Consider the following 27317-nt stretch of genomic DNA (forward strand, 5'->3'; position numbering starts at 1 on the left):
AATCAAGTCAGGAAACATGGGGATGGAACAAAGGTTTGGGGACCCACAGTCCAGTTCCCAGAGTTGCTAAGGCCTCAGTGACACAGTCGGCAAGTGCCCTAGGGATGTGATTTTTAACAGGGGTGGTTCTGTCTTTTCCTAGGGAGTGATAAATATCCTGCCATAGGGGGTAAAGAATTACCTCACCCAGAATGCCATGGCTATGGCCTCCTGTCCTCCTAGTTTATTTCTGATGTGTACGTGGGGTGTATGAGGGGTATCCTTTACCCCTCACCCTCCACAAAGTGGGTTTACTCCTTCCACAAAAAGACTCTCCTCTGGGCCAATGGACTCGAAAGCCTGTCAGGTATGGACACTCGGGTCCCTTGGTTTCTAGTGAGGAGTTGCCATCCGAGGGCCTTCTAACCTGGTGACCCAGTGGGACCCCTGCTTCCCCTAAGAACAGACCTCGGTTTAATTGAATGGTGAAACTGCGCTGTGTGTTTTTGTATGTCTCCTTGGTGTAATTATGTAGAACTGCATACTTGTTTATGTGCCTGTTTTTATTTACCATGTTTATGTTTTTATGTATACGTATTTTCTGTTTGATATTTGTGAATGTATGTGTTTTCTGCATATGGCTATGTTGCGTGCTTGTGTGTGTGTATCTGTGTGTGTATTTTGTGGGTTGGTGTGAATGAGTGCTGGTTCTGTGTGTGTTATTTGACCATGTCACCAGCTGCTCTGTTTGTCAAGTAAATGTGTTATAATTTATTTATTTATTTGACAGAAAGAGAGCAGCTTATCTTAAGGGCTGCAGGAGGCAAGAAAAGAAAAGAAAAAAAAAAAGCCAGCCCCGTGTTGCTCTATTTTAAAAACTGCTCTGCGTTGTTATGGCAGCTAATTTTCCTTAAATGATTTAAGGAAACGGATCTGTCTAAAAGAGCTGCAGCCAAGTTGTTATAGCAACACAGGCAGCAGCTGAGGAGGGCCTTTCTCCTCTAGTAAACGGGGGGAAATCACCTCGGAGTGTACAAACCTCTCAAAATAGCAACTTTGGGTTCTGAGGGACTCTGGAGGTAAAGGAAAGGGCTGCTGGAAACCCATTCACCTCCCCAGACAGACCCTGGGGGATTCTTCCTAGCAACAGCCTTTTCACTTGAGTTGGGATCTCATCATTCTTACCTCGGCTATGGCAGTAAGCACCTACCTGGTCTCCCTTCTTCCCACGTAGTCTCACCTCCTTTGATCCACTCTCCACACTGCAGCCTTAGTAATTTTCTAAAGCATGCATTGTTTATTCATCAGTGCATTCATCATTCAACAGAATATTCTCTACAGTGCCGGGTTCTGTGCTAGGTCCTGGGAGTACAGAAAGGTGCTGAATGAAATGAATAGGGCATGTTTTTGAGCAGCATGCCAGGGAACACTAGCCTTTATTCCAGAAGTAATGCAGGCCCACTGAAAGAATTTAAAGCAGGGAAGACAGACCCAGGTGGATTTAAATTTTAGAATGACTCCAAGATTTCTAGATTGAAGAATTGAGTGGCTGGAAATGCTATTCATTGATCTCTCTTTCCCTTGCTCCAGCGTTTTTGAGGACTCTCCATGGACTACTCTGATTTTCAAGACTGAGAGAGGATATATGCTGGAATATTCCTAACAAGCGGCACTTTGTTTCCTTGCTTTGATTTTTTTTTTAGTCGTGATATTTAATTCAGCTAAAAATCAATTTAAAAGTGGGCCTGAGACCTTGATTTTAGTAAGAAGAGAGCATTGGGCCATAGGAAGAAGCCAAATGCCTTGGGGCAGTGTTCAAACCCATCCATGGGCTTCCTCAGCCTGCACCTCACATGCCCTCCTCACAGCTACCTGTTATAAATCCTGCACACCAAGCCCAGAAGCTGAGGTCTTCCACCTCCATTCCATTGCTCAGATTTTCCTGGAATGCCCTCTCCCCTTTCCCTATAACTTCCCTTCTCTCCAAAGCTCAGCCACCTGATGAAGTATTACCAATCTCCAAAGGACCAGTACAAATGCAGATTTCTCAAAAAAGCTTCCTTGGATCACCCACCCCCCACCCCCACATGGATTAATCTCTTTCAGCCCCACGTTTCCAAAGCACTGTTTGCTTAATTATAGCACACCTTCCTAACTGCCTGGAATTAAAATTTCATAAGGGTCTGGCCTTCTCATCAGATTGTAAGCTTCTCCCGACTGGGACTCTGCCCTATTAATCTCTGTAACCCCAGAGATAGCTCAAGAGTCTTGCAAATGGGAACATTGAAAAATGTGTGCTGCAGTCAATTAACTGAGGATTTTAAGGCAAACACTACTTTGTTATTTAGCTTCATCAAACACTGGGTGCACCTGACAAGTACATAGTTAGATGCTAGTGGAGTTGCAGGTGGATGGTCCTGGGAAGCCCATTCACATATGGGCTTAGCTTTCTAAGATCATAACTGGATATAGCTGTGAGAGGAGGGCCCTGTCTGTGGCCTTGTGGGTGAGTGACTCTGGTTGTGTGGCTGATTGTGTGATGTGAAGTCACTGTCATACTCTGTGGTGTGTGTACTAGGAGAAAGCCAAACTCCCATGGACAGCGGGTAAGCTCTCGCCTGAAAGGTAATATCATTTCTGGTGCTAATTAGATCTCAGATCTAAAATCAGAATTGGAAAGAGAGACCTGGATTACAGAACAGTTAGAACTGGCTCCCACCAGTTCTAAAACTGATATCTTTACCACCACTAAAGATATCAAAATGTCTAAGTACAGCTCCCAAACAAGACATGGTTAGATGGTGAGGGCAGGTTAGGGACTGGGAAGACAAGGGATCTGGGATCTGAGTGAACCCTTGATGGCCATAGAGAGCTAATTTCAGTGGGGGGTAAAATGGGGTAGATGCCGAGTCCAGGACTGAAGCAAGTATATGAAGATGATCAGAATCCTCTCTCATGGGAATGGGAGTGGGTGATGCCATCTCAGGTTCTATCCTTGGGAGTGTTGGACAATCTCAGCAGGTTGCAGGGAAATCTCTGTCACCAGATCAGAGCCTTCATTAAAGGAGGACACAGTGATGGTGGCAGTGGGATCAGGGGATACTCTGAGGGAGAGATAAGATTGGGGAGGGGTTTGTGGTTCAATTCTTCCTTTTATCAGGAAAGTCTTCTAAAACCAAGTCACAGAAGCTCTAGGTTCGCTTCATCATTTGCTCAACATTTATCCTGAGCACCTGCTTACAGCCAGGTCCCTGCTGGGCGCCAGAGACCCTGAGATGAGTTAACCAGACCCTTTCCCTGGGGGACAATCAATCATAACTGGCAAACAGGGGCCAGGCCACAGTGTCCACAGGCAGCTATCATGAGAGTGGAGAATGAAACACTATGTCTCAGATCAACGGTAGTCCTCTTGGTTAAACACTTTGTTTTCAAGATCATCATTTAATACCCAATGTCCCCAAGAGGGGTAAGATTTTAGTGAGCACAGGGCTAGGAAAGCAGCCTTTGAAGTCAATGTCATCACTAATACAAGGACAGCAGGCTCCTGTTTCCAGGTTAGGAACACATAGAAGGGCTCATTCCAGAAGCCTTCCAGTGCAGGCCAGACATATCACTTCAGGTCTACTGTACACTGAGCACCTCTAAAGATGAATGCATCACTTGGCCCTGTACTAACTGTTCCTCCTGGGTTCCCATCTCAGGAAAAGTACCACACTACTCGGCTGCCCAAGTCAAAACCATAGGGATCATGCAAGACTCCTTCCTCTCCCATCAGCCACAGTCACCATGTCCCTTAGGTCTGGCTCCTTATTACCTCTAGACTCCTCTTCTTCCTTTTCAACTCCACAGCAGCAAACTCTAATGGTCTCACTGTCTCTAGTTCGGCACCGTCCGAATTTATTTTTCTAACAGGCACCAGAGGGGTCTCTCTGAAATGCAAACCTAATTTGTCAATTCCCTGCTTAAAATCCTCAGTGGCTCCCTATTCCCATGAAAGTAAAGTCCAGATTGCTCCCTGTGTCATAACAACCTCTTCTGTCTGCCCCTGGTAACAGCCACACTGAATGACTTCCAGCCTCCTGAGTAAGACACCCTCTCAGGGCAGGTGCACATGCTGTTTCCTCTGCCTGGAAAGTTCTCCCTGACCTGAGCATCCCTCATGTATCAGCCCAGGTGTTGCCTCCTGGGTTGGGTTCCCACAACCCCTGTGCTTTACTCTATAAATGCACCTAGAATAACTGTCTGTAAATGTCTGTCTCCACCAGGCTGTGAACTCGGCACCCAGCACAGGGCCTGAAGGAATGACAGTTGATATTGGAGGGTCTTGCTGATTCTCTGCTTGTTGATTCTGTGGGCAGAAGGCAACCTGGACAGGAGGAGTGAGACTGTGCATTTAGAAAAAAGCCCAGAAGTTGTCCTGGCAGTTCAGATAGTTCAGGGTTGAGTGACTATGTATGTGACACTGAAATTCAGGAGCAGAAATGCACTTAAAGCTCTTAGGGCAGATGCCTCAGGGAACTGCAGTGTTTGCAACTGGGCACAAAGATGTCTGAAGTCAAATGTGAATTTGAATCAGATCCAGGTAATGGTTGTTGAGGGTCTGCTGTACACCAGCACTGTGCTAGGTGTTTTTGCATCATTATTATTATACTTTTTGAAAAGGAGTCTTGATCTGTCACTCAGGCTGGAGTGCAGTGGCGCAGTCTTGGCTCACTGCAACCTCCGTCTCCCAGGTTTAGGTAATTCTCCTGCCTCAGCCTCCTGAGTAGCTGGGATTAGAGGCATGTGCCACCACACCTGGCTAATTTTTTTTGTATTTTTAGTAGAGACCGGGTTTTGCCATGTTGGCCAGGCTGGTCTCGAACTCCTGACTTCAGGTGGTCCGCCTGCCTCAGCTTCCCAAAGTGCTGGGATTATAGGGGTGAGCCACCGCATCTGGCCTCGCATCATTTTTAATAGACAGAGTGTACAATTTATCATCCAAATCAGAACAATTTCGGGAGTGAAAAGAGGGCATTGTTAAAAGATACTCCAGGACAGTAGGTATAAACCAGAACTCACTGTTTAGTTAGTTCTAAACAGTTAGTGAGTGACAGGACAGTAGGTATAAACCAGGAAAGCCAAGACTTATGACCATTCTACCTAGAAGTCATACTTTGTGCTTTTGTTCTTGGTAACCCCTGACATATCTTATAAATACATACTTATCAGTATTTACTTGTTTAAAGTCTATTTCCCCACTATATTGCAAGGGTTAGGGTTTTTCTTTTTCACTAGTAGAACCTCAGTGCACATAGAAAGCCCATATATAAATAAATAGAGAAGAAAGGAAAAAATGGAGTAAAAGATTGAGTGAGGAGAGAGAGAGTGGGGAAAAGAGGAAGGAACTGAGGGAGCGGGGATGCTATTCCAGGCCAGCTTGACTCCTATATTAGTGCTCCACACCCTTGCTTGAGGCATAAATGAGTAGCCTTTCAGTAAGAAAATGGCTTATACAACTAGCTCAGCACCCAAGATGTACTTATTAAGATCTAACCAGCTGATGATCAATGTATTCATGACGCAAATCATTTCCTAACATCTCTGTAACTCACTCTTGCTGGATCTGTGTTTTGTAGCATGAATGAGCGCCCGGTTGTTTGTGAGTAAATCAATAATTAATGACAGCAATGGTATGCCGAAGCCTTTTCCTCTTTAGCAACCCTAACCTACTTCCCTTGTGTTCCTCCCCCAGGCTGCCCCTAAACTCCCATTTCTCTCTTTGGGGATTTAACTAAAATACCACTTTGTTCAATGGTTTCCACTCTGTCACTCCTTCTGGTCCAATGCCATTTTTTTGTTTGTTTGGTTTGTTTTTTACTGTGCCTCATCATTCTACCTGGGAATAATTGTTTTGTATCTATAAACCATATTGCATTTGGCATAATAGGATTTTCTGTGTTCAATCCAATTCAACTCAACATGCAGTTATTGAATATCTATTATCAGCCAAATGAGAAAAAAAATGTAGGAGCTTGTTCTCTTTGAGAAGGAAGTATTGCTATTCTATCAGGGAAACTGCAGTCAACACAGAAGCCTGGGAGGGCAGAACTCTGCAGACTACAGATTCTTCCTGAGAAAATCAGAAGCAGTTTCTCTCTGCAAGGAAAGCTGATCAGGATGACATTGAGAGGTCAGGGACAAGTTCATGTCTGTAAGAACTAGGAGAAGACAGTGGGGTTTCAAATCTTAGAGAAAGGCAGCAAACCACAATCATTCTATCTCTGCATATGGATTTGGTGAGCACAGTTCACACCTTCTTTTATAGACAAAGAAGGATGAGCTGGCGAAGGAAGCAAATATCCTAGGGTTATGGTTATGCAAGACCTGACACAGAAGGTATACTGTGAAAGGACCTAGGAAAGCAAAATTTACATAGGAGGACCAAGATAACAGTTGAGTTTCATAGCCAAGAAAACTACATTGCACCTCAGGACTGACTTTTTCATTAATCCCTGCTCTAATATATCGCATTTGTTTTTAAGCGCACTTTTCTATCTGATCAATACCTATGTCGCTCTTTAATTCAGGAAATTTTCACTGGCATCCTCAATGAGGGTAAGTAGAATGGGTTACATTGGTGCATCTCTGAAGTACCCCAACTGTGTGACTTTTGTTGTCTTAGCAATCACCATCTCTCACCTGACAGCAGTCATGGGTCATAAAATCAGTCATTGAAGTTGGAAGGGACTCAAATGGAATTTCACTAGAATGTCTTCCAACAATTGAGTCTCCTCTGTGCACCCTTTTGGACTAAAAGTTGAACACTTTTAGTAAAGCAAAGCTCACAGCTCACACACACATACTCCATTCTTAGGCAGCTATAGTTGTTAAAAAGTTCTATTTCTCTACCTCTTCCCATATCCTCCACCTGAAAAAATGGTCTGTCCCCCCATTCTGCGATAGCTCTTCAGAGACAGAATACCGTGGTTTGCTTCATTTCTCTAAGCTATGAAACCCTGCTGTCTTCTCCTGTTTCTTACAAACAAGAACTTGCCCCAGGGAGCAAACTTGGTGTGAACACCCATTGTTCTGTCTGCCTATGTCCCCTTCTTTCTTCTGAAATGGTAGGCCCTCTTTTCTGAAAACAGGTACCAACCCACCCTCCAACTCCATCCACATGGTTCCAGAGAGGCTGCCTTGTCCTTGCATATTCTTGTCTTCTGAGCCAGAATTGACTTGCCCAGAAGTGGGCCTGTCCTCCCGACTAGGTCAATCACAATCCTTTTGGAACTGGAACTGGAAAATGAGCATAAGTTACTGTAGTGTTGAGAACCTTTGGATGTGACACTCAGCAGTCAAGTTCCCTATGTGTAGAAGAAGCCAGGTTACAGTCTTCAATTACATGACATGCCCTTGGTATTCTTCTAATAAATTCTCTATTTTTCTTATACTAATTCAAGTCCTATTTCTTTAGCTTGTAACCAAAGATCCCTGACAAATATGGATACACTCCAATATATTTCCTTTAACCCTCCAGACCTCCAAAACTGAATCCACTATTTGTGAGAGGTTGCAGGAAAAGAGATTGGGAGAAGGTCCTTGGGTCTGCTGGATTCAGAGAAGAGCAGGCCTAGTGCCTCCCTGGTTTTAGCTATGTATTCCTAATTTGCAGCTTCTAGTGGACTTTCCCAATACAATGCTGCCCTTTCCCAGATCAAGCCATAGATCAGCAGCTGTGGAGGGCATTCAGTTACTTACTGGGTCGTTGTACATCTGGACGATGAGTTGTTTCACTCCATGCAGGGTAGGATGGACCCATGGAGAGGGATCCAGCCAGTGACGATTCAGATCAAATCCCATCAGAGAACACCTAGGCAGTACCCAAAGTAAGAGTCAATATAGACAGGATAAGCTGAGCTTCTCACCTGTCAAAATATGCTTATGAGTAGGAGCAGTGATTATGTCACTTACCTAGCATTTATCATTTTCCAGAGACTGTTCTAAGTACTTTATATGAGTTAATTCTTTCAGTGTCATCAACAACCCTGTGAGGTCACTACTATTGCAATTCCCACTTTGCAGAGTAAGAAACTGAGTCACAGAGAGATTCAAAAGTATTTCTGTGGTGTAGCCTCATGTCAGCATCCATAGACACATGACCCATAGACACACATGCACATCTTCTCCACACTGCAGCTGAGAAAAATGCTCAGGCCACAACTACTGGTGTTCCCATTATGCCTCTTTGCTCACACCTATAGCTAATTCATTGTCTCTACCTTCAAAATACACCATAACCCAACACCTTTTTACCACTTCCTCTGGTATTACCTTGAGTGTGGGCCAAGGTCCAGAGAACTGTAATCATATTTTACCTGGTCTTCTTGTCTTCTCCTTGCCTCCTCCCACCTCACCTTCCATGACAGGGTACAGCAGAAGACTGAAGATTTCCAGACATTTTAGGCTTGGACTTGGATTCAAGTGCTCCAGTTACATAGGTTTATGTTCTTTCCCTTCCTTAGCTGAGCCTGGACAGCTAGTTGCATGTGTGGATTTGAGGAGACCAGGGCATAAGCTTTCTCTTTCCAAATGCCTCTTTCCTCAATGCCCCTGGAGGGACTGGGAGAACCCCATTTCTTATCACTGTGCTATGCTACTTTTGTCTCAGTGAGAACCAGAGAATAATGTGGAAACTTCCAGGAACTTCCTTTGGCTCCACATTCAGATTTTCACTAGCGTCCTGCCTAGCCTCTCTGGCAAGTCCATCCTTCGTGAGTGTGGGATAATGCCCCCATGGTATGCAGAGGAGATATCACTGAGTTCAGTCCCCCTGTTCTGTGGATGGTGTACTACGTGACCCTGGGCAAGTCCCTTGCTCTCTCAAGGCCTACGTTTCCCCAGCTACAAGTAGAGAAGGAGCTTCTACAAATGGACCACAAGCTTTTCAAGAGCCTCTTTCATCATGGACTGCACTCTCCCTACCCCACATCCTCAGTGGAGAGGACCACACAAAGAAATGTCCTCTCTGGTCCAAGATTTCCATAAGAGCAGTGATGCCTAGATACCAACCATTCTCTGTGCTCTAAACAGAGGGGATCACTGATGCTCACCTTCTAGGCCAGCAAGTTACCTCCTGACCTTGAACTTGCAAAGGAGTCCCTTCTTCATTTGCCATTACAACATGAGCATGTTTCTTTGTTAGAAAACTCTTTGTAACTAACATTGTAATAGTGTTATAACATGACATATCATCCCATTATATGAACCCCCATAATTCATTTAGCATTTCCCCACTGTGGCACATTTATTTTGTTTTCAGTGCTGCACTATTTTCAAAATGAACTGATGAATACTATAATCCCTAAAGTTTTCTCCACATTTCAGAATTTTTTTCTTAGAACAGTTCCCAGAAGTAGAATTGCTTGGTAAGAGGATTGACTGACTGTAAAATCACTATTAAAAATGAAAAATGGTCCTCAATATAGAAAGCAAAAAAGAAAAAAGGAACATCACCTTCCTATCACTCAGATATAACTCCTGTTAGCCTTTGATGTAGTTCCTGCCATCTTTTCTTTCTGAGCTTATAGTGGTAAGTGCAGCAGTAGCTAACATTTAAGAAGTGCTTACTAGTACCTTTACATGAATTATCGCATTTCATTTTCGCTTTTATGCCATACAAGCCCTGTATTAACATTTTACAGAGGAGAAAACAAAGGCTTAGAAAATGTAAATAACTTTCTCTAAGGTCACTGAGCTACTATGTAATGGAGTTAGAATTTGAGCTCAGGTCAACCTGATTCTCAGAGTCCAAAATCTTACCAATTGCTCTCCTTACTCTGCTCTCCTCTGACTACATTAAATTGTCTTTCAGAAAGGAAACATTCAATGCTGTGACTAGTGCCTTGATCTACAGACATATTCATGCAGTTCTTAAATATTCTTATCTGACGTATTGCTACTCATGAAAGTGATTAAGGACAGAGAGAGAGCCCCACAGCCACACTCATCTGAAACCTGCTCAGGGTAATTCGGCCAGCATATGGTGGAGCAGGCTTCAAACCCAGGACTATCCAGCTTTAATATCTATGCTCTTCTAGGGAACAAACAGTTTAAGCAAGCTCTCTGCTTTTGAGAATGTATAAGTAAATTAAGGAGGAGAGACTGGTTCAGGGAACAAGGATGAGGCAAGAGTTAAACACAGCAATTCATCACGGTTTTATTAAGAACCTTCTACACACCAAGCTCCATGGTAGTGTTGCTGGGATAGAGTGATTGATAAGAGATATTCTCTAACCTCAAGAAATGTATAATCTAGCAGAAGGAAGAAGATATGCTTACAGGTTTATATCCATTTATAATGCAGGACAATATTGTGAGTATTAAATGAGCTAATGCATAGGTTTTGGTACATAATGGTAACTCAAAAATGCTATATTGTTGTTTTTATTGGTCTGTATTATTATTTTATGCTATGTTCTATGTGAATGACATGGACTAATAGTTTTGCAGTCCATTGGAGGCTGGAATGGGCAGCAGTGGTCAGGGATGACCTCTTCTTTTCCTTCAGTCTGGGAATTAGGCAGATCTGAGTTCAAATCCATGCTCTGTTCCCTCCCAGGTGAAGTGGGCATTTGTCCATGTTCTTTGGGGAATGCCCAGCATCTAACCCTGTTACTAGATGGGGGGTTGAATGTGGTGAGTTTGCTCCTCCATCATTACAAGATGAGGCATGATTTTGCCCCGTCTCCCTCCACGGAAGCCAGATGAGCCAGATTCTATCTCTTTGTTCCCTGGAAGCCAGGGCAGCTATAGGAAACCCAGGCTCAGGCACCAGCCACTCCTGCCCAGGACGTAAACTTGGGACTGGGTGATGCGAGGCAGCAGGGAGTGCTGTGCAGCAGTGCTGCTGTGGAACAGAGGCAGAGTATTCTGGCCCTTCAGAGCTGCTCGGTTAATTGCTCTGGTTTTCAAGTCTGGCTACCAGTTTCTGTGTGATTCTGTAAGCCCCTTCGTATAAATTCCCTTTTTGCTTAAGTGGCTAGAGTCAGTCCTTGTTAATTTTAGCTGACTGCACCCCTAATCAGATGGCCCTATGAAATAAGTCATAGAAAATTCTGGCAGGCCCCTATATTGTCCACTTCCCAATGACTAGTCAAAAAACAGAGGGAATCACTGGTCTGGGTGCTGTGCTCACAAAGCTTTTCCAGCCCTCACTGAGCATCTAAATATTTAGAAAGGTACATTACCCTTGACAACAGGATGTAATCATAAAACAATTGTATCCTTAGAGATGCTCAGTTATGTGCCTCTCCTCTGCCCCCAAATAGGAATGTCCTCAGCACTGTCTTGGGCATGTCACCAGCTTGCTCTAGGATACCTCTATGACCTAAAACTCACCACCTTTCCAGTTAGCTTATCTCATTCTTGAATCTTCCATTAGAAAATTCTTCTTTCCTTTTTAGCTGAATGTGCCTCCCAGTTACTTCCTCCATCCTTCTCAGCGTTGCCCCACGGAGTTGCACAGAACAACAGGTTTATACTGTGGGGACCAGCAGCTTTGGGACTTACAGTTATGTTTAAGTTCTGGCTGTGTTCCTCACCAGCTGTGTGATCTTTTTTAAATTTATTTTTTTAAATGCACCTGTAGGCTTCTGTTTTATCATATGTATAAAGAGGATAACCACTCTGACTTTCTGGATTGCATACATGAATTAATGTCTATAAATGGACCAGGAGAATTCTCAGAAACACATAAACATTGAACAAACTATAGCCAGTGATGGCAGTGAAGTGGTGATAATTGTGGCACTGTTGAAATTGTCTAAACTTAAATATCAGCTCCTCCAGGAAGTAGAGGAGGATTTTCACTCCCTGCACATGAGGGGTAGGTGCTTTTCTTCTGCTCCCATAGCATCTGTTGCTCCCCCAGCAAAGTGGCTATAGGACAAGATGTAATTGTTGAGTCCGCTTCTCCACTGGACCATGAATTCCTCAAGAGCAAGGATGCCATCTTATTCATGTTGGTATTCCTGTGCCTGACAAAGAGCCTGGATCATGGCAGACATCGAAGAAGTAGTTGTTGAACAAACATTTCATTCCTCCTAAGCATTTTCCTGTCTCATATTATATAGTTCTCATGACCATTCAATCACATGGTAAACCTCAATTTTCTAGTGGGAGTGTTGAGGGCTAGAAAAGGTAAGCCATTCTTTCGAGGCTACATAACAAGTACTCTAAAGGGCCCAGACTAGAACTCAGGTGTCCCGTTCTGGACTTCATAGTCTCCCCAGTTGGCTATGCTGCTTCCAGGAAACCTCTGATTCAAAAAAGAACTTCAAAACTGAAGGAAAATTGTTAGAGGTCAGAGATCCTGAAAGGTCAACTCCTAGATCCAGCCTGCTAATAAAAATAGAATGTAACTGGTGATTCACAGGCATCTTCAATCCTCAGAGAGTCTAGAGCTTTTTAGAAGCTAAAGCATTTGTGATATTCTTCAGTGAGTAGTACCTGCATGGGCACCTTTTGAGCTGATTTTAAATGAATGCTTCTAATGGCACTCAATCTATCAGTAGATAAGTATTTACTGAACAAAACATCTTAGTAAAGATGCAGGATCCCTGGCTAGGAGCCTGGGGTACAGGTCCCACCTCCAATGTCTGTGTCATCTTGGAAAAGTCACCTCCTCTCCCTAGGCTCAATGGACTTATTTGTAAAATGGAATGCTATACTTCACTCACAGAGATCTCTTTCGGCTCTCTCAATATATGATTCTAAAGCATCAGTAACTGGGCTTTTTACCCCCAGAATAAGGGACTTTGGAGAAAGCATATATTTCCAATTAAGTTAAAGTTCAAAGAAAACAAAATATTCGAGGAAAAGTGTTGATACAGTTTTAAAATGAAACACCAACTAGTCAAGGATGACCAATATCTTAACATTAATTGCATGCATTGCTCAACATTTGAGATTTGTGGGACACAAATGGGAGTTTGCCAAGAGTCAAGGCATGAGAGAGCATTCCAGGCAAAGGGTATAGCATGTGCAAAGTTAGGGAAGCAAGAATGGTCAGCAATTATGCATATTTCTAACAGGCTGCTAGTATGTTCTGCTTGTGTCCCTAACTGACTATAAGCACAAGAGGCCAAGGCTGGTACAGGCTCTTTCTCTTTAGTGGTTTCAGGACCAAAAAGCAGCTGCCTAAAGACAGAGGAACGCATAAGATGGCCTCCAGATGCCAGGCTCTCACTCCTATGACTGCCAGTTTAGAGTTACTGAATGCAAAATCCTGGGTCCCTGCCCTGAGTCTCTGTCTCCTTGGTGCTCTTGTATTCTATTATTTGTTTTTAAGATGAAAATTTTGCATGAGCTCAAAATCAAGACCTATGTTCTGACAAGAAAGAATGGGGCTATTTATGGCACCAGTGGGAAAGAATCTTTCACATTAGGACCATTCTAGAAAATGCAAATATATGGGGGCCAAATTTACATATGACTGCATAATACATAATGTCTTTATTTTGAGTTGGAGATACTCTTAAGTATCTTTTCTTTCTTCCTCTAATCTGTGAACTCCATGAGGGCAGGGATAATGTGTGAGTTATCTTTCCCACCCCCACTCCAACATTGTCTACTATAAACCCAGGTGCAGAGAAGATTCAATATATTTATTGGATGAATGAATGAGTGAACAGATTAACAAAAGCATGGATGAATACCTTGCAGGTTTGCAAACATGGGTTAGATAGTTACTTTCAGATATATTTTGAAAAGTAAGCACCTACTAAATGCTAGACTCATTCACAATAATCAAATGAGATAGGTATTATTAATCCTCATTTGATAAATAAGGAAATAAAATCCAAGAAAGATTTCATCTTGAGAGGGTCACTTGACAATTAGTAAGATATAGACCTGGGATTTGAACCCAGGTCTTGTTGATGGCAGGATGGTTCACAGTCACCTTTGAGGTTCCCAGCCATCTGTGAGTGTGTGTGATTTATAAAAGAGACACTAAGCTACTCATTTGTCTGATCTTCCTATCCTGTTCTCTTTCTCGTTTGCCCAATAGCAGAGATATAATGGTTCCAGAGAATGTTATACAAATGCCAAATAAATAGCCCCATCTCATGAAGGACATCATGCCTTATCGCTATTCGCAATAATGGCAGCTAGAATGAGAGCAATGATTTCAATTCCCCTCCTTATGATTTCTTTTTCATTCTCCTCTGAAGAAGGATAGAGAAAAAGGCAGCTTGGCGGCTCCAGATCAATCTTGCCCTGAGCACCGTGAGGCTGCTCTAAGGAGCAGTGGCATTGACAAGCAGAGATGTATGAGGTATGCCAGCAATTGTCCCCCAAACACAGCAGTTTTTCAGCATTACCAATGAGCTGGATTGGATTAAGCATATTTGCACCAAAAGCAAAATAAATATTGCTTTATTTAATGCCACTAAAAGGTTGGGATTCAATTGCCCTTGGCCTGAGGCACCTTCCAGTTCTATTGATTGGGCCATGTCAGAATGCCAGATAATCTGTCATCAACAGCCCCTGAAAAATGCTTAGCATGTGGGTTGGGCTCTGCTGTTGTGTAGATGGAGGATTGCAGGCAGTGTCCTTTGTCCCAAACACAAGGGATAATCATAACACATCCACTTCCCATCACCACCACCAAGATATTTAAAGCATTCTCCTCACATCCCTTCTTAGATCATCATGACGAGGAGATGTCTGTGACCAAGACTGTGAAGACAGAGAGGAGGGTGGATAAGAACATAGGCTTCAAAGGCAGAAGGACTTGGGTTTGAGTCCCAGTTCTGTCATCTAGTAGCTTTGTGACCTTGGACAAATTCATCTGTTTGCTCAAAGACCTGAAAGTGCTGAGAGGGCAGTGACTGAATCTATTTCATTTGCCACTGGGTCTTCAGTGCTAGCACAGTGTCTCGTACACAGCTGACTCTCAGTTGAACTGTATAAATAGAGGCTCAGAAGTGGTAATTTGACCATGGTCCAGCAAGGACAAGTGACAGAGGCAGAGCTTGAACCCAGTCTGCCCAACTCTAAAGCCTATGTTCTTAGCCACCATTATACTCTGTCTTAGCAGTCCTAGGAGTCAGGTAAGAGCCTAATAGAGGGACTGTCCCTCATGTGCAGTGAGAGGTAGATGCAATATCTTTATTTTTTTAAATGGGGAATCTAAGTTTCAAATGAGGGACTAACATGAAAGGTTCCTTTACGCAAACTGACGAAAGGTGCTACCCCCTACCACCCAGGGTAATAAGTTGCAATCAGGTGCCATTTCTGGGTGGGTAAAGTACAGAATAATGCCACTTGGTTTGGCCAGACTTTGGATTGAGAGCAGAGTCATAGCCCATAGCCCCCATTGACCCCTTGACCACTGAACATTTGTACAGTGTACAAACTGCACATCCATATGGAGCAGACTTGGATGTGCCCAAGGTTTATAGCAAAGCCAAGATTAGCACTTAGTTTTTCTTCTTCCAAGGTTCATTCAGCAAGGTCTTTACCCTATAATGGTGGCCTTTTCGGCAAGGTGGTGTGACTGGGGACAAGGGCGCTCAGATCACATCTGGAAAAGAGATTATCTCCAACCCTAAGAAATTCTTCCTAGTGGGTAATGAGAGGCTTTAGAGTGCCTTCTCCCTTCCCGTACAGAGCATATACTCCAGGGATTCATCCTCTCTCCTGCTTGGCAGCAACAAACACTGGGTTCAGGTGGATTTCCAGCATTGCAACTTAAAACTAATTCTTAGAGCCAGTGACCAACTGGAAGGACCTGAGATTTCATAAAACCCAATCCCCACATTTCAAAGATGGGGAATCTGAGGCCGAGAGGGCAGAGAGGGTCTGCCAAGGTTACATGGCTATTCAAGGGTAGAGTGGAAAGTCCATTCCAGAACCAAAAGATTATTTTTCTCTATATAAGAACAATGATAAGGAGTTTACTCCTTTTTGAAAGGTCTGAGGGAGGACATTTTCTGAAGGAATACACTGGCCCTTGAGGCTAGGAATTCACCATTTCCGTTTCTTAAGTGAAAAAGGACAGAGGAAACAAAAAAGGGGGCATAAAAGTCTTTCATGTGTTCACAAGACCTGGGTGCTGGCAAGGCTCTCACCTACCTGCACCGAGCCTGAGAATGGCTCTGAGTCAAGTGTGGGCTCTGGAGCCACACGGCCTGGATAAAACCCTGGCTTGGCCAACACATTTTTGTCTTTGTGGCTGAACCTCTCTGTGCCTTAGCTCTAATCTGAAAAGTGGGAATTTTGTCTACCTCAGAGGGTTGTTTTGAGGACTCAATGAAATCATACAGGTAAAATGCCAAGGACACCATCTAGATTGAGATAAGTGCTACACATGTTAGCTGTTCTTGTGGTTTGCTCTTGGTATGATGTTCAGGATCCTTCACAATCTGGTCCCCAGTTATTCCTACACTTCTTACACTATGTTGTCAATCTGTAAACCATACAAGGGTAGCACATGATAGGGCCTGTGAGCTAATAACAAAAAGGTGCCCCCTCTGTGGGCTGACGCATTTCTGCCAAGTCTCAAGGCTTGTCAAGCCTGTGCTGCACTCTACCCTCCACCTACCCACTTAGCTGGCACCTTTGTGTGGTGCACAGACTGTACCCTATGTAGGATGCAGCCTAGACCACATGCAACAGCCACACCAGAGCACTTGGCATTCCTCAAGGATCTCCACTCACTCAGGACTCAAGCAGTAAGACTCAAAGGGCTCTGAATCAAATCACTGGGTGTGATTCCTGGATCTCCTACTATTAAAGGCAGTACTTGGGCAAATGACTTAACCTCTCTTTGAGTGTCAGTTTCCTTATTTGCAATATGAGGATAATACAAGACCTATCTCGTAGGTTCATGAGGTTGTTGGGAGGAACTCCCCATTGCTTTCAATCCCAATGGTAACTTTCAGCCCTCAGGAATGAAAAGAATGGGTCTTCTTCTCCATTCCCTCGTTTTCTCTTCCCAAGGAAGGAGATGAAACTTATCTGACTGGTCAGCTCCGGAAAAGAAGCAGAGCCCGTTTGGGCCTAGCCCCTCCTAGCATGTGTTTTTGGGATCTGGAATCCTGAAGGGTCTATTCTGGTCTTCTCTCTGCCACATGGTGTGCTTTCTAGGAGGCTTCTTGCCTCCTTTTCTGCTTGTGTCTGGTGGGAAAGTTGAATTTTGAAGTGAAGTAAAGGAGGCAAGTTTGGCCACAGATACAGACTATGCCTCCCAGGTCCTGCTTTTATCAATAATAAAGCTAATATTTTGACTCCTATTTTTCTGATCCCTGTATCTCCTTCTACATTGCAGGAATAGAATGAGAGTAGGAGCAGGAGTATGACTCATTATCACTCCAAATCTCTAGTGGAAGTACTACATATAAAACACTTAGAATAGTGTCTGACAGCTATATACATTCAATTAATGTTTCGTATTATTATATTACTGTGTTGTTATTTATTATAATTATTCCTTTGGTTTGGAACATGCTGCCATTCTCTTCCCCTGGCCAACTCCCACTCATCCTTCAAGATTCATCTCACACAGCTTTTCCTTCAGATATTTTCTCTGACTTTCCCTATCCCAACCCTCTTGGCTGGGTTAAGAGGTGCCTCCTCAGTGACTTCACAACCTGGGAATCCCTGGGCTTCCCTCCACCAGCACAGTTATCTCTTCTCTGGACTGTGAACTCCTTAAGGGCAGCGCGGGGGCCAAGCCCACCTCATATTCCCCAGTGCATGGTACAAAGTATGCGCTTGGGGATGGGTTGGTGACTTGGGAGGGCAGGAGAGGGAAAAAAGAAGAGAGGGAAGAAACAGTTAAAAGGCTTCTCAAGTGGAAGCAGAGTGCCAGCAAAAGCACAGATGTGAGCAAGAGCAGGCTGGTTTAAGACAATGGAAAGAGCCCAGGAAGGCAAGAGGAACAGATGGGAGTGGATGCAGGAAGGGGCAAGGTGGACAGTTGGAGAGGAAGCTGAAAAGAAAGTTTGAGGCCATTGTGCAGGCGCTGAATACCAGGCTAAAGAGCTTTCGTTCTTTCTGAGGGTCAATGGGGAGCCGCCGAAGGATTTTTACACAAAGAACTGGCACTATTCAAGCAGTGGTTTAGGAACTAGGACCAGAAATGGTGAAGTTCTTGATTCTATCACATTGTTTTGCTCCTCCAGACTCCCTAGCTGCTAATTCTGGGTTACTGTCTCCTCAGAGGCCTGTCTTCACTGTAGAATCAATTATTAAGATCAACTTGCTATCAACTCTAACTTTGAAATGCTATTCAGCTGCTTGCAGGGACAGAGATGAGGAGCTGCCTCCACAGACATCTAGCCATCTGGCCTTTTCTGTGGAACCTGGCTGGGAAGCTCATTTGAATAATTGGTTTTGGCGGTGTGCACTTGTGGGTTAGACACCTGATTACACTGCCAGCCCCAGTGTCCTTTCAGCCTCCACAGAAACATCACTCAGGTTACATAAAGCAGGAGAGAGTCCCTGGGAGGTAAGGGTCTGTCTGGCCCGTGCTGTCACTCTGGCTTTATCTGACTGTGTGGCTCACTCACTGTGTGACCTTGAGCAAGTTACTTAGCCTCTCTGTGGCTTGGTTTCTTCTTTGCTTCAAGAAGGAGAGTGATTCCTGCCCTGCCTACACCACAGGCTTCTTGTAAGGATCTAAGGGAAGATGGGGGAGTTGCAGCTTAGCAGAAATGCAAGTGGAAAAAATTAAAGATTTAGGCTGAGGAGAGCTCAATGTCAGACAGAAATATATGCATGTGGGCTGTATCAGAAGAAGCGTGGTCCCCAGAATGAGGCTTCTGATGACCCCTTTCTATTCCTACTCCATAAATTAATTAGTTCTATGAACTTGAAGGGGGGTACCTAATCTACCTGTGTCTCAGTTTCCTCATCTGTAAAATGAGCATAATGATGCATTTGTTCTAAGGATTAAATGAAACAATTAATGCAAAATGCCTAAAATAGTGCCAGGTTCAGAAGGCTCAGTAGATGTTAGCCATCATCATCACTATTACCATTATAATGATATCCTTCAGTCGTGGACACCCCGCCTCAAAGACAGACAATGACAAACATCTGGAGCACGTTCAGAGGACAGCGGGAAGGACAGGGAGGGGAATGGATTTCAGATTACATATGAAAGGTTGGAAGGCTTTGGGGATGTTTGGCCTGGAGCAGTGGTGGGATTGAGTGGGGAGTGGCGAAGGGTGGGAACACATGATCTTCAAATGGCTGAAGGCTACCATGTGAAAGATGGGCTGGCCTTGAATAATCCTTCAGAGGGCGAGGCAGAAGTTACATGCTGGCAGCTTCAGCCTGAAAACAAAGTGCTGTCTCACAGTCAGAGGTGGCATCAGCACAGCATGATGCCTTGGAAGGGAGGGAACAACCTGTGCCTAGAGGCAGGCAAGCAGAGGGGGCATGGCCTGGATCGGGCACTGGATTGAATGTTTCTCGTGATGCTGTGATAGGGCACCCAGCAGGGAAATGTGACTGGGGCAGGGAAGGAGGCTCAGAGTGATGACGGGCTGGCAGATCTCTCAACAGGGCAATACTTGCTGTGGATCTTTGTTTTCTGTTTCTAGCTTGATGAAAAAATAGGCAGTTTTTATGCTGTTACAGAACAAATAGAACATTGACATGTATTTATATTTTACATGGCTGATTTTAGGTTCTGTTCTATTTTTGGATAGTTTGAAATGTTTCTTCCTCTAGATTTTGAGGTGGAAGAGGTAGGTAGACCAGTTATAATGTGTGTGTGTGTGTGTGTGTGTGTGTGTGTGTGTGTGTGTGCTGGTGCTGGAAATACCTTCCCTGGTGGTTTACCCTCTGCTATGGTTAATGAAGTTTTGTTGTGTAAATCTCTACCTCCTTTTTATGTCTGGTGAACTTATATATTGTCCATCCATCAAAAACCCTCCTTCATCACTATGAGTCAGAAGGAAGTACTCTCTGCTTCAGGAGACAGTGTATCAAGAGGTTAAAACTGGAGCAGCCTAGGGTCAGCAACTAGGGCAAGTTCCGTGGTAATTATGTGCTTCAACCTCCCCCTCTACTTAAAGTAGGAGCATCATACTACCTCCATCATGGGGCTGCTGTGAGGACTAAATGAAACGATACCTATAATGTGCAGTGAGGAGACACTTACATACTAGCTCCTCTTGTATCTCTCAGCCTCTACTGCATCACACCCATATTTCTAGTGGAAACACTGGGGTTCTTATTGGCAAGAACTGCCTCTGATTTCCTTCTGCTTCCCCAAGGCCCAGCACAGGGCCTGACACCCAGCAGGACCTCAACAAACCTTAGTTATACTGGATTTACTGCACTGGAGCATCCTTTGCTACATAAGGATTGCCAAGGCCAAGAGACATAATGATGGAGAGAGTCTGCAGATTGTACAGCATCCATTTCCACCATGGGGTCTGCAGTTCCGTGCTATAACGCAGAATCATTTCTGTACCACCCATAGAGGTCCGTTCCTCCCCACCCCACCTCCACACTCCCAAGAAATACTGAGGTTTTCCAAAGATGAGAAATTTCACAGCATTCTGCTATCTTTTGGGTAACTGCGTATTTTATGATGACTAATAGGCAATTACTATGGTAATATTGCAATTCAGCATGTGTGAGGTTTGGGAAATGAGAAATTATGGGTAACTACTTTGGACTCATTTCTATGGTAACAAAAAGTAATTGTCATTAAATACCAGTTATTCTGAGGCTGTACCTGGTAATTATAGATTTTTATGCCCAGAAACATAAATAAAACCAATAAATTTATTCAAAGGTCTATGACTGTTTACTTATACGTGGCTCTATGGAATACACAATGACAAGCACCTAATTAAGAAATGCAAACCCAACACAGGGTTTCATATTGTTGTACGGAGATGGAAAGTCTGTTTTTCAAATGCAGGCAACTTCTGCATTACCTATGCTCAGAAAGCGCCGTGGGGTATAGGTGGGCGTGGGGGCTTTCTTCTCTGCAAAAGAAGTGACGAGGAAGGAGCTGGCAGAGAGAGTGTGCAAGTGCTGCAGTGTGTGTTGTGGGCATGCTTTCTGTAAGACATTGAGAATTACCAACCGATTCTACACTGGTTCAGCCCATCATCCCCCAACTCCAGTTGCCTTCCAACTAGGAGTTGCTTGCAGCTTCTTGGCTCTGTAATACCTGAAGTTACAATATTCATCCCTCAAGACTCCTAGGTCCCAGATCCTTCCAGAACTCTCTGAAAATATTCCCATTGTATTGTCAGTAGCCATACCATTGTTTTTTGTAACACGGTGGTAAATACACATAACATAAAACTTACCATCATAACCATTTTTAAGTGTAGGGTTTGATGGCATTAAACACATTCATAATGTGCTACCAACAACACCATCCATCTCCAAAATTCTTTTTAACTTGTAAAATTGAAGCCCTATGCCCATTAAATAGTAACTCCCCATTTTCTCCATCCTCCCAGCCCCTGGTAACCACCGTTCTGCTTTCTGTCTGTATGAATTTGATCACTTGAAGAACGTCATGTAAGTGGAATCATACAGTCTTTGTCTTTTGATGAGTGGCTTATTACATTAGCATAATGTCCTCAAGTTTCATTCATGCTGTAGCCATCCCATTCTTGATAGAGCCTCTCCCCCGCGCTTCTACTAAATGATGGAAGGTGCCTTTCATCCCACTTCCCTCTTCCAAGAGAGTAGGAGGGAAATAGGCCAGGCGAGAGAAGTGTCTTGTCCAAGGACAAATAAGAATGCTCAGGAGAGTAGTGAAAATTAGACCCTCAGTTCTCCACTTCTGCCTATAGCTTATAGAGCAAAGGCAATGTGCGGGAGTGTGGCGAGTCCCTGGATGTACCCTATGGCCTTGAACATGGCTCTTCACCTTCTCAGCCTCAGTTTCCCCATGGCTGAAATGGATACAGTAAAAACTGGCTTTCCTTTCTTGGTCACTGTTGTATGACCAAATGTGGTTTTGTAAGTGCCTTTAAAAGTACCATGCTCCGTGCAATAACTAAGTATGGCTGAGAATCCAGTTTGTTAAATTATAACAGCAGCTCATCAGGTTAAAGCATAGCAGTGTTCCTGTCACAACAACATACAGCTAAAACAACTGGGCCAGGAGGCCATGCAGATGAAGGTAAAGGGCTGGGGGCTGACTGCATCTGGCCCTAGTTACTCTACACTGGGCACTGTAGCTTTGTGCCATCGTACAATCACTAAACACTGTTGTTTAGTTCATTTGTTCATTCTGGAAACATGTATGTGAACTTCAGGTCAGTGACTAGAAAGATAAAATATATATCAAGAGCCCATTTGCCAGGTACTGGGGATACAGAGAACAAGGTAAACAAAGTCCTGACTTCACGGAGTTTATAGTCTAAAGTGAAGACAATCATTAAACAAATAGTCACATAAATAAACACATAATTACAAATTAGGGCAAGAGCCATAAAGGGAGAGTACAGGGTGCTATAAAAGAGTGTAATGGGAGACCCACTATATATTGCGATCCCTGGGAAAGCCTTTCTGTGAAGTGGCATTAAACCTAAGACCTGAAATGAAGAGAAGGCAAATGTAACTGAGGTGCAGTAAGTAAGACAGAGTGTATAGTTGCTCTGTGCTTTTACTGTATAAGGTAACTGTTATCTATTGTTATATCATCCAACATAATTGTTAAAGATAGCTACTATAGCGTATACTATAGTTACTATATATTGCTGCTATAAACTTTAGTATAGGCTCTATATACTCTTACTGTAAACCATAGTCTGGTATCATATACAGTAGTCTAGTTAGAAAATGTTGCTGTTCTTTAACATAAAGAGCTTGATCTATCATGGTATAGTGGCCATCTATTGCTATTAAATTTTAGAGTGTACTTTCTTCAGTTCACTATAAATACCACAGAATAGGTACTTGTATTATTAAATCTAAACTTAGCTGATGAAATCTGGGAAATCTCCCTGACCAGCCTTCCTAGATTGGATTATATGCTTCTTTAATGTGGAGGAGTGAGGAGGAGGAAGAGAAGGAGGAATAAATGTTTATTTATAACTTACAGTGTGCTTAGCACTGTGCTTTAAATGCATTATCTCACTAAAAGCCTCATAACTCTATAGTATCTCCATTGACAGATGAGAAAAATGAAGCTTAATGAGGCAATGTAATTTACCCAAGGTCATATAGCAAGTAGGCGGTAGAGCAGAATTGAAATCTGACCTGACACCCAAGTCCATTTTCTCAACCACTGACCTTTACTCCTTCCAAGCTCCTGCCTTCCCTTCTCACACTGCAGGGAACTGGCCTGTTGAACCATCTCTCCAGCCAGCAGAGTGAGGTGCCTCAGGGCAGGCCTGTCTTTGGTTCTCCTCCCAGGGTCTGGCAGGCTTGGTGCTGGCTATCAGGGGAGTGTGGGACTGCAGAGAGGAGCAGGGCTAGGTCAGGCACACCTGCATCCCTGCCCGCTCCTCACAGGCCACAGACCTCACGGGGATGACTTAACTTCTCTGAGGCTTGAGAGTCTGCACGTCCAGAGGGAGATGTTGAGAGAATGAAAGCTAAAGAGCATGAGAGAGAGGCAAAGACCTGGCCACCCGTCTTCCAACATGTTTCCAGCAATTTGATCAGTTCCTGGGAAGTCTGGCTCTCTTTACTGCACTAGAATTCTGAGAACCAACCTTCCTTCCTTCCTTCCTTCCTTCCTTCCTTCCTTCTTTACTTCCTTCCTCCCTATCTCCCTCCTTGCCTCCTTCCCTCTCTCCCTCCCCCACCGCCACCTTTTCTCCTGTACTCAAGCTAGATTTAGTAGATTTTTATTATTTGAATTTAGAAAAACTTTAACAAAGTTAAACAAAGTTCCTCCATCACAGAATTATGAGGATTAAATGAGATCAGTGTGTGAGTGCTTCACAGGCCATTAGATTGGCAAGTAGAATTCTTGGAATGGCATTTCCCAAAATGTGTTTCAGAAACCATAACACTGGTTACAGGGAGGATGTGGACCCCCTCTCACTTAACTTTGGGAAACACTGAGTACTATTTCCCCTCTTAGATTCCCTATGTTTATAAGCATATTCAAAATTTTGAAAAGTCGTATGAATAAAAGAACATGTTTAACTTTGCTTAACTCTGTGTTTCCTAAACTTATTTGAACTCTGAATATTTCCCCCCATAATGCCTTGGCAAGTCTCACCAAACCATGGAAGTACTGCTGTAGAGAGTAGTGTGGCTGGCCTAGGGGACCTCTAAGGCACCTTGAAGTTCTCAATTCTGAGTCTTTATTATTTTTTTATATATTCTCTAAAGCTTTAAGTAGAGAATTCTCATGATTGATAGGCTCTTTGTTGTACAGTTTTAGCAATAGCATTAATGCTTCTGGTTAGAGTTGCTCTCCAAGTCTCATAATGAGAATCACATATTCTCACTAGGAGAATGTTGGGGGTTGAAGCTTCAGGGTGAAACCACTTCTGAGGGTTGGAAATCTTTTATCACGGAGTCCTCAAATCACAAAATCTCTGGGGCTTGAAGACATGTAGAAAGCATGTAGCCCTCATCACCATCCCAGTGTCCATCTAAAGCCCTGAGAGGGGAGGCATTTTGGCCAAGGTCACTGACCTCCTTCAAGCTAGTCCTTCCCGAGACAGCAGATGATGACATAAATAAATGTGTGGAGAGAAGTATTGACCTCTCTCTCTGACCGCTGCTCTTGTAATTAAACAGAAACATTAGCATAAATCAAATGGTCTTTCTACCACTATTATCGCTAACAGTACACTCTGTCCATGGAAGGTGGAAAAGCATCACTCTCAGGCCTGCAACAAGCCATAAAACTTGCGAATGCTAATGAACCATCACTTCAGCCAATTAAGAGTGGAAGCAAAACTGTCTTTAATGAAGGCTTCAGGCATCTCATGGGCTCTCTCTAACTCACACCCAAGGGTACCAGGAAGCCCCTCTGGACTCAGTTGCCATGCTCTTGGAAAGCAGTAAACCAACTCTGTGTAAAACAAGCCTGGCTGGCTGTCAGGAGATCTGGTTCCAGTCTGAGTTAGGCCACGGACTTTGAGTAAGTACTATTTCATCTCTGGGACTCAGTTTCTTCATTAGTAAAGTCATCCTTCTCATCTCTCATATTCATCAAACACTTTTTAGGCATCTACCATGTGCTGATCCCTGCTGCTAGGCATGAGGGACACAAAGGCCATTAAGGTTCAGTCTCTGCCCTCCAGTAGCTTTAAGTACAGTGGAGGACATGCAATGGAATAAGAGTTGTTCGATAACCAGGCCTGCTTGGTACAGTGGCTCATGCCTGCAATCCTAGCTACTTGGGAGACTGAGGTGGGAGGATCGCTTGAATCCAGGAGGTTGAGGCTGCAGTGAGCCATGACTGCACAACTGCACTCCAGCTTGGGTGATGGAGCAAGACCCTGTCTCAAACAAATAAACAAATACACAAACAAATAAATAAATAACCAGGCCTGTGAGAACTCAGAGAAGAGAGTGGCCAATTCTGTTTAGGGTTTAAGGGGATGTTTTCCAGAATAAGGAACATGAACTGAGTTGCAAAGAATTAATGGGATGAAGAAGGGATGAGGGATTTCTGGGCAGCAGGCAGCCTGTATCTTCATACATAAGGTAGCAGGAACCAATAGGACATGTCTGGGGAACTGGGCTTTCCTCAACGCAGCTGCAGCACCTGTTCTAGGAGGAGAGGAGGAGGTGAGGCAGGATGGTGGACACACAGGCAGCAGGGCAGACAATGCCTTGCATGCAAAGCTGGGGGGTCTGAATGTCATCTTGAAAGTCGTGGGCCGAACGAGCTCTAAAACTGTATAATTTGGATGGCGAAGTTAGTCAATGATTTACTGGCTGTGTGACTTTGGGCAAGTCAGCTTAATGTGAAATAAGGGCAATAACACTATCTATCTCAAATGAGTCGGTGTTTTTTTGGCAGATAATCTTCTGGGCAGTGGAATTTTAGGCTGTAAATTATGGTGCTAAGCCAGGAGAAAAGGAGTTCAAGATTTGAGTGCGTGAGTGTGGGGCTGGCTGGTGTGCCCACACTGAAGAGAAATGTTTTTCAGATGACCTGGGATTCTATTCTCATTGATATTCTCCAAGAGGAAACACAACAAAACAGTCATCATTATAACTACCCCACGATATTCTGCAAAACACATTCCTTCCCACCATTTCTTTTGAAGCTCTCACAACTGCCCTTTCAGGTAAGTAATTATTGTCTCCATTATGCAAGAGAAACTGAGCCCAGAGAGGGAAAAGTGGACTCCCCAAGGTTACATGGAAAGTAGGTGCCAAAACTGAGACTAGGTCTCCTGATTCCTGGTCCAGTGAGCTGTCTAGAAAAACCCAGCAAGTGACCTTAGGTGGCTGTGCATGAAAAAGCCAAAGCTAATTAAAGAAATTCTCAAGAGCCAGGGTGAAACTTTCTCTAATGAACTCATGGGCAGCCTCAAAATTCTTCCTCAAAAAATATATCCCGTATTTTTTCTTGCTTCCATACTACCATCCTATAAGTACTTGCTTCCAAGCATTCTCCCCAATTCCTTACCTGTAATTGCCCAGGTAGACTCCATCAGGATTGAGCATTGGTGCGATCTTGAAGACCAGGTATTCCCGGAGGACACAGGCAATAGGGTGCTGGCTTACAAGGAAGTCAATGATCCCTAGGGAAAGAGAAGAGCCCGGTTTAACAACAAAGCATTTCAAGAAGAAGGAAACACATTTTTCTCAGCTTGGAAAACAAGAAGAGCTCAATAGGTGATTTTGGCCTGTGTTGTTATTGGCCACTGTGGGTGTGTGGTTATAGACTACGCGTTATCTGTATAAACTGTATTTACAAATACATTTGTATTTCCAAGAGACAGTTGAAGACGTAACATTGAAGCCCATGGGCAGGAGGGAGAGAGCATTTCCTGCGGTAGAGAACTGGGAGGGCTTCCGAGAATGATGATATTTGAGCTGTGCTTTCAGAGCCCACCTAGTTTCATCACAAAGAGATGGGGAGAGGTGGGCTAGCACTAAACAGTAAACTAAGAGATGCTTTCTAATAGGCACACTTAGTTAAACATTGACATCAGATGTGATAATCACAGGGTCAAGGCCTTAGGGATTTAAATGCTCATGTTGCTGATAGGCACACCAAGAAGCAGAGAGGAAAAGCATTTTAGCCAAAGTCACATGAGCAGAAGGAGGTTTCTTTCATGTACTCCAAATGTGCTTCTTTCCCCATTTTGAGGATCCTCTGTTCCAGGACTCCAGGGATGATTGCCTTCCCGGCTTCTCACTGGCACTAAAATCACCCT

General features: G+C 43.7%; 1 protein-coding gene across 8 annotated transcripts in view, besides 2 other annotated features; it reads right to left on the reverse strand.

Annotated features, from left to right (window-relative positions):
- AGBL4 (AGBL carboxypeptidase 4) overlaps positions 1 to 27317 on the reverse strand; it is a 1501444-nt gene that overhangs the window by 104263 nt on the left and 1369864 nt on the right. For all 8 annotated transcript variants that reach the window (NR_136623.2, XM_017002595.3, NM_001323575.2 and 5 more), the window contains 2 exons: positions 26564 to 26678; positions 7720 to 7831 (listed from right to left, as the gene is read on the reverse strand). Coding sequence is in view for 7 of the 8 variants with exons in the window: in XM_017002595.3 (XP_016858084.1) it covers positions 7720 to 7831; positions 26564 to 26678 (227 nt within the window). In the remaining variant the exon portion in view is untranslated. The remainder of the gene's footprint in view (positions 1 to 7719; positions 7832 to 26563; positions 26679 to 27317) is intronic.
- Positions 18459 to 19101: an enhancer, noted in NCBI's record as "OCT4-NANOG-H3K27ac hESC enhancer chr1:49110904-49111546 (GRCh37/hg19 assembly coordinates)". NCBI's record gives its function as "activates a minimal SCP1, AML or CMV promoter by ChIP-STARR-seq in naive and primed H9 embryonic stem cells {active_cell/tissue: H9 hESC(naive and primed)}" and the evidence as "EXISTENCE:reporter gene assay evidence [ECO:0000049][PMID:30033119]".
- Positions 19102 to 19744: an enhancer, noted in NCBI's record as "OCT4-NANOG-H3K27ac hESC enhancer chr1:49111547-49112189 (GRCh37/hg19 assembly coordinates)". NCBI's record gives its function as "activates a minimal SCP1, AML or CMV promoter by ChIP-STARR-seq in naive H9 embryonic stem cells {active_cell/tissue: H9 hESC(naive)}" and the evidence as "EXISTENCE:reporter gene assay evidence [ECO:0000049][PMID:30033119]".

This window comes from Homo sapiens, chromosome 1, assembly GCF_000001405.40.
Source record: "Homo sapiens chromosome 1, GRCh38.p14 Primary Assembly".
Lineage (NCBI taxonomy): Eukaryota > Metazoa > Chordata > Mammalia > Primates > Hominidae > Homo > Homo sapiens.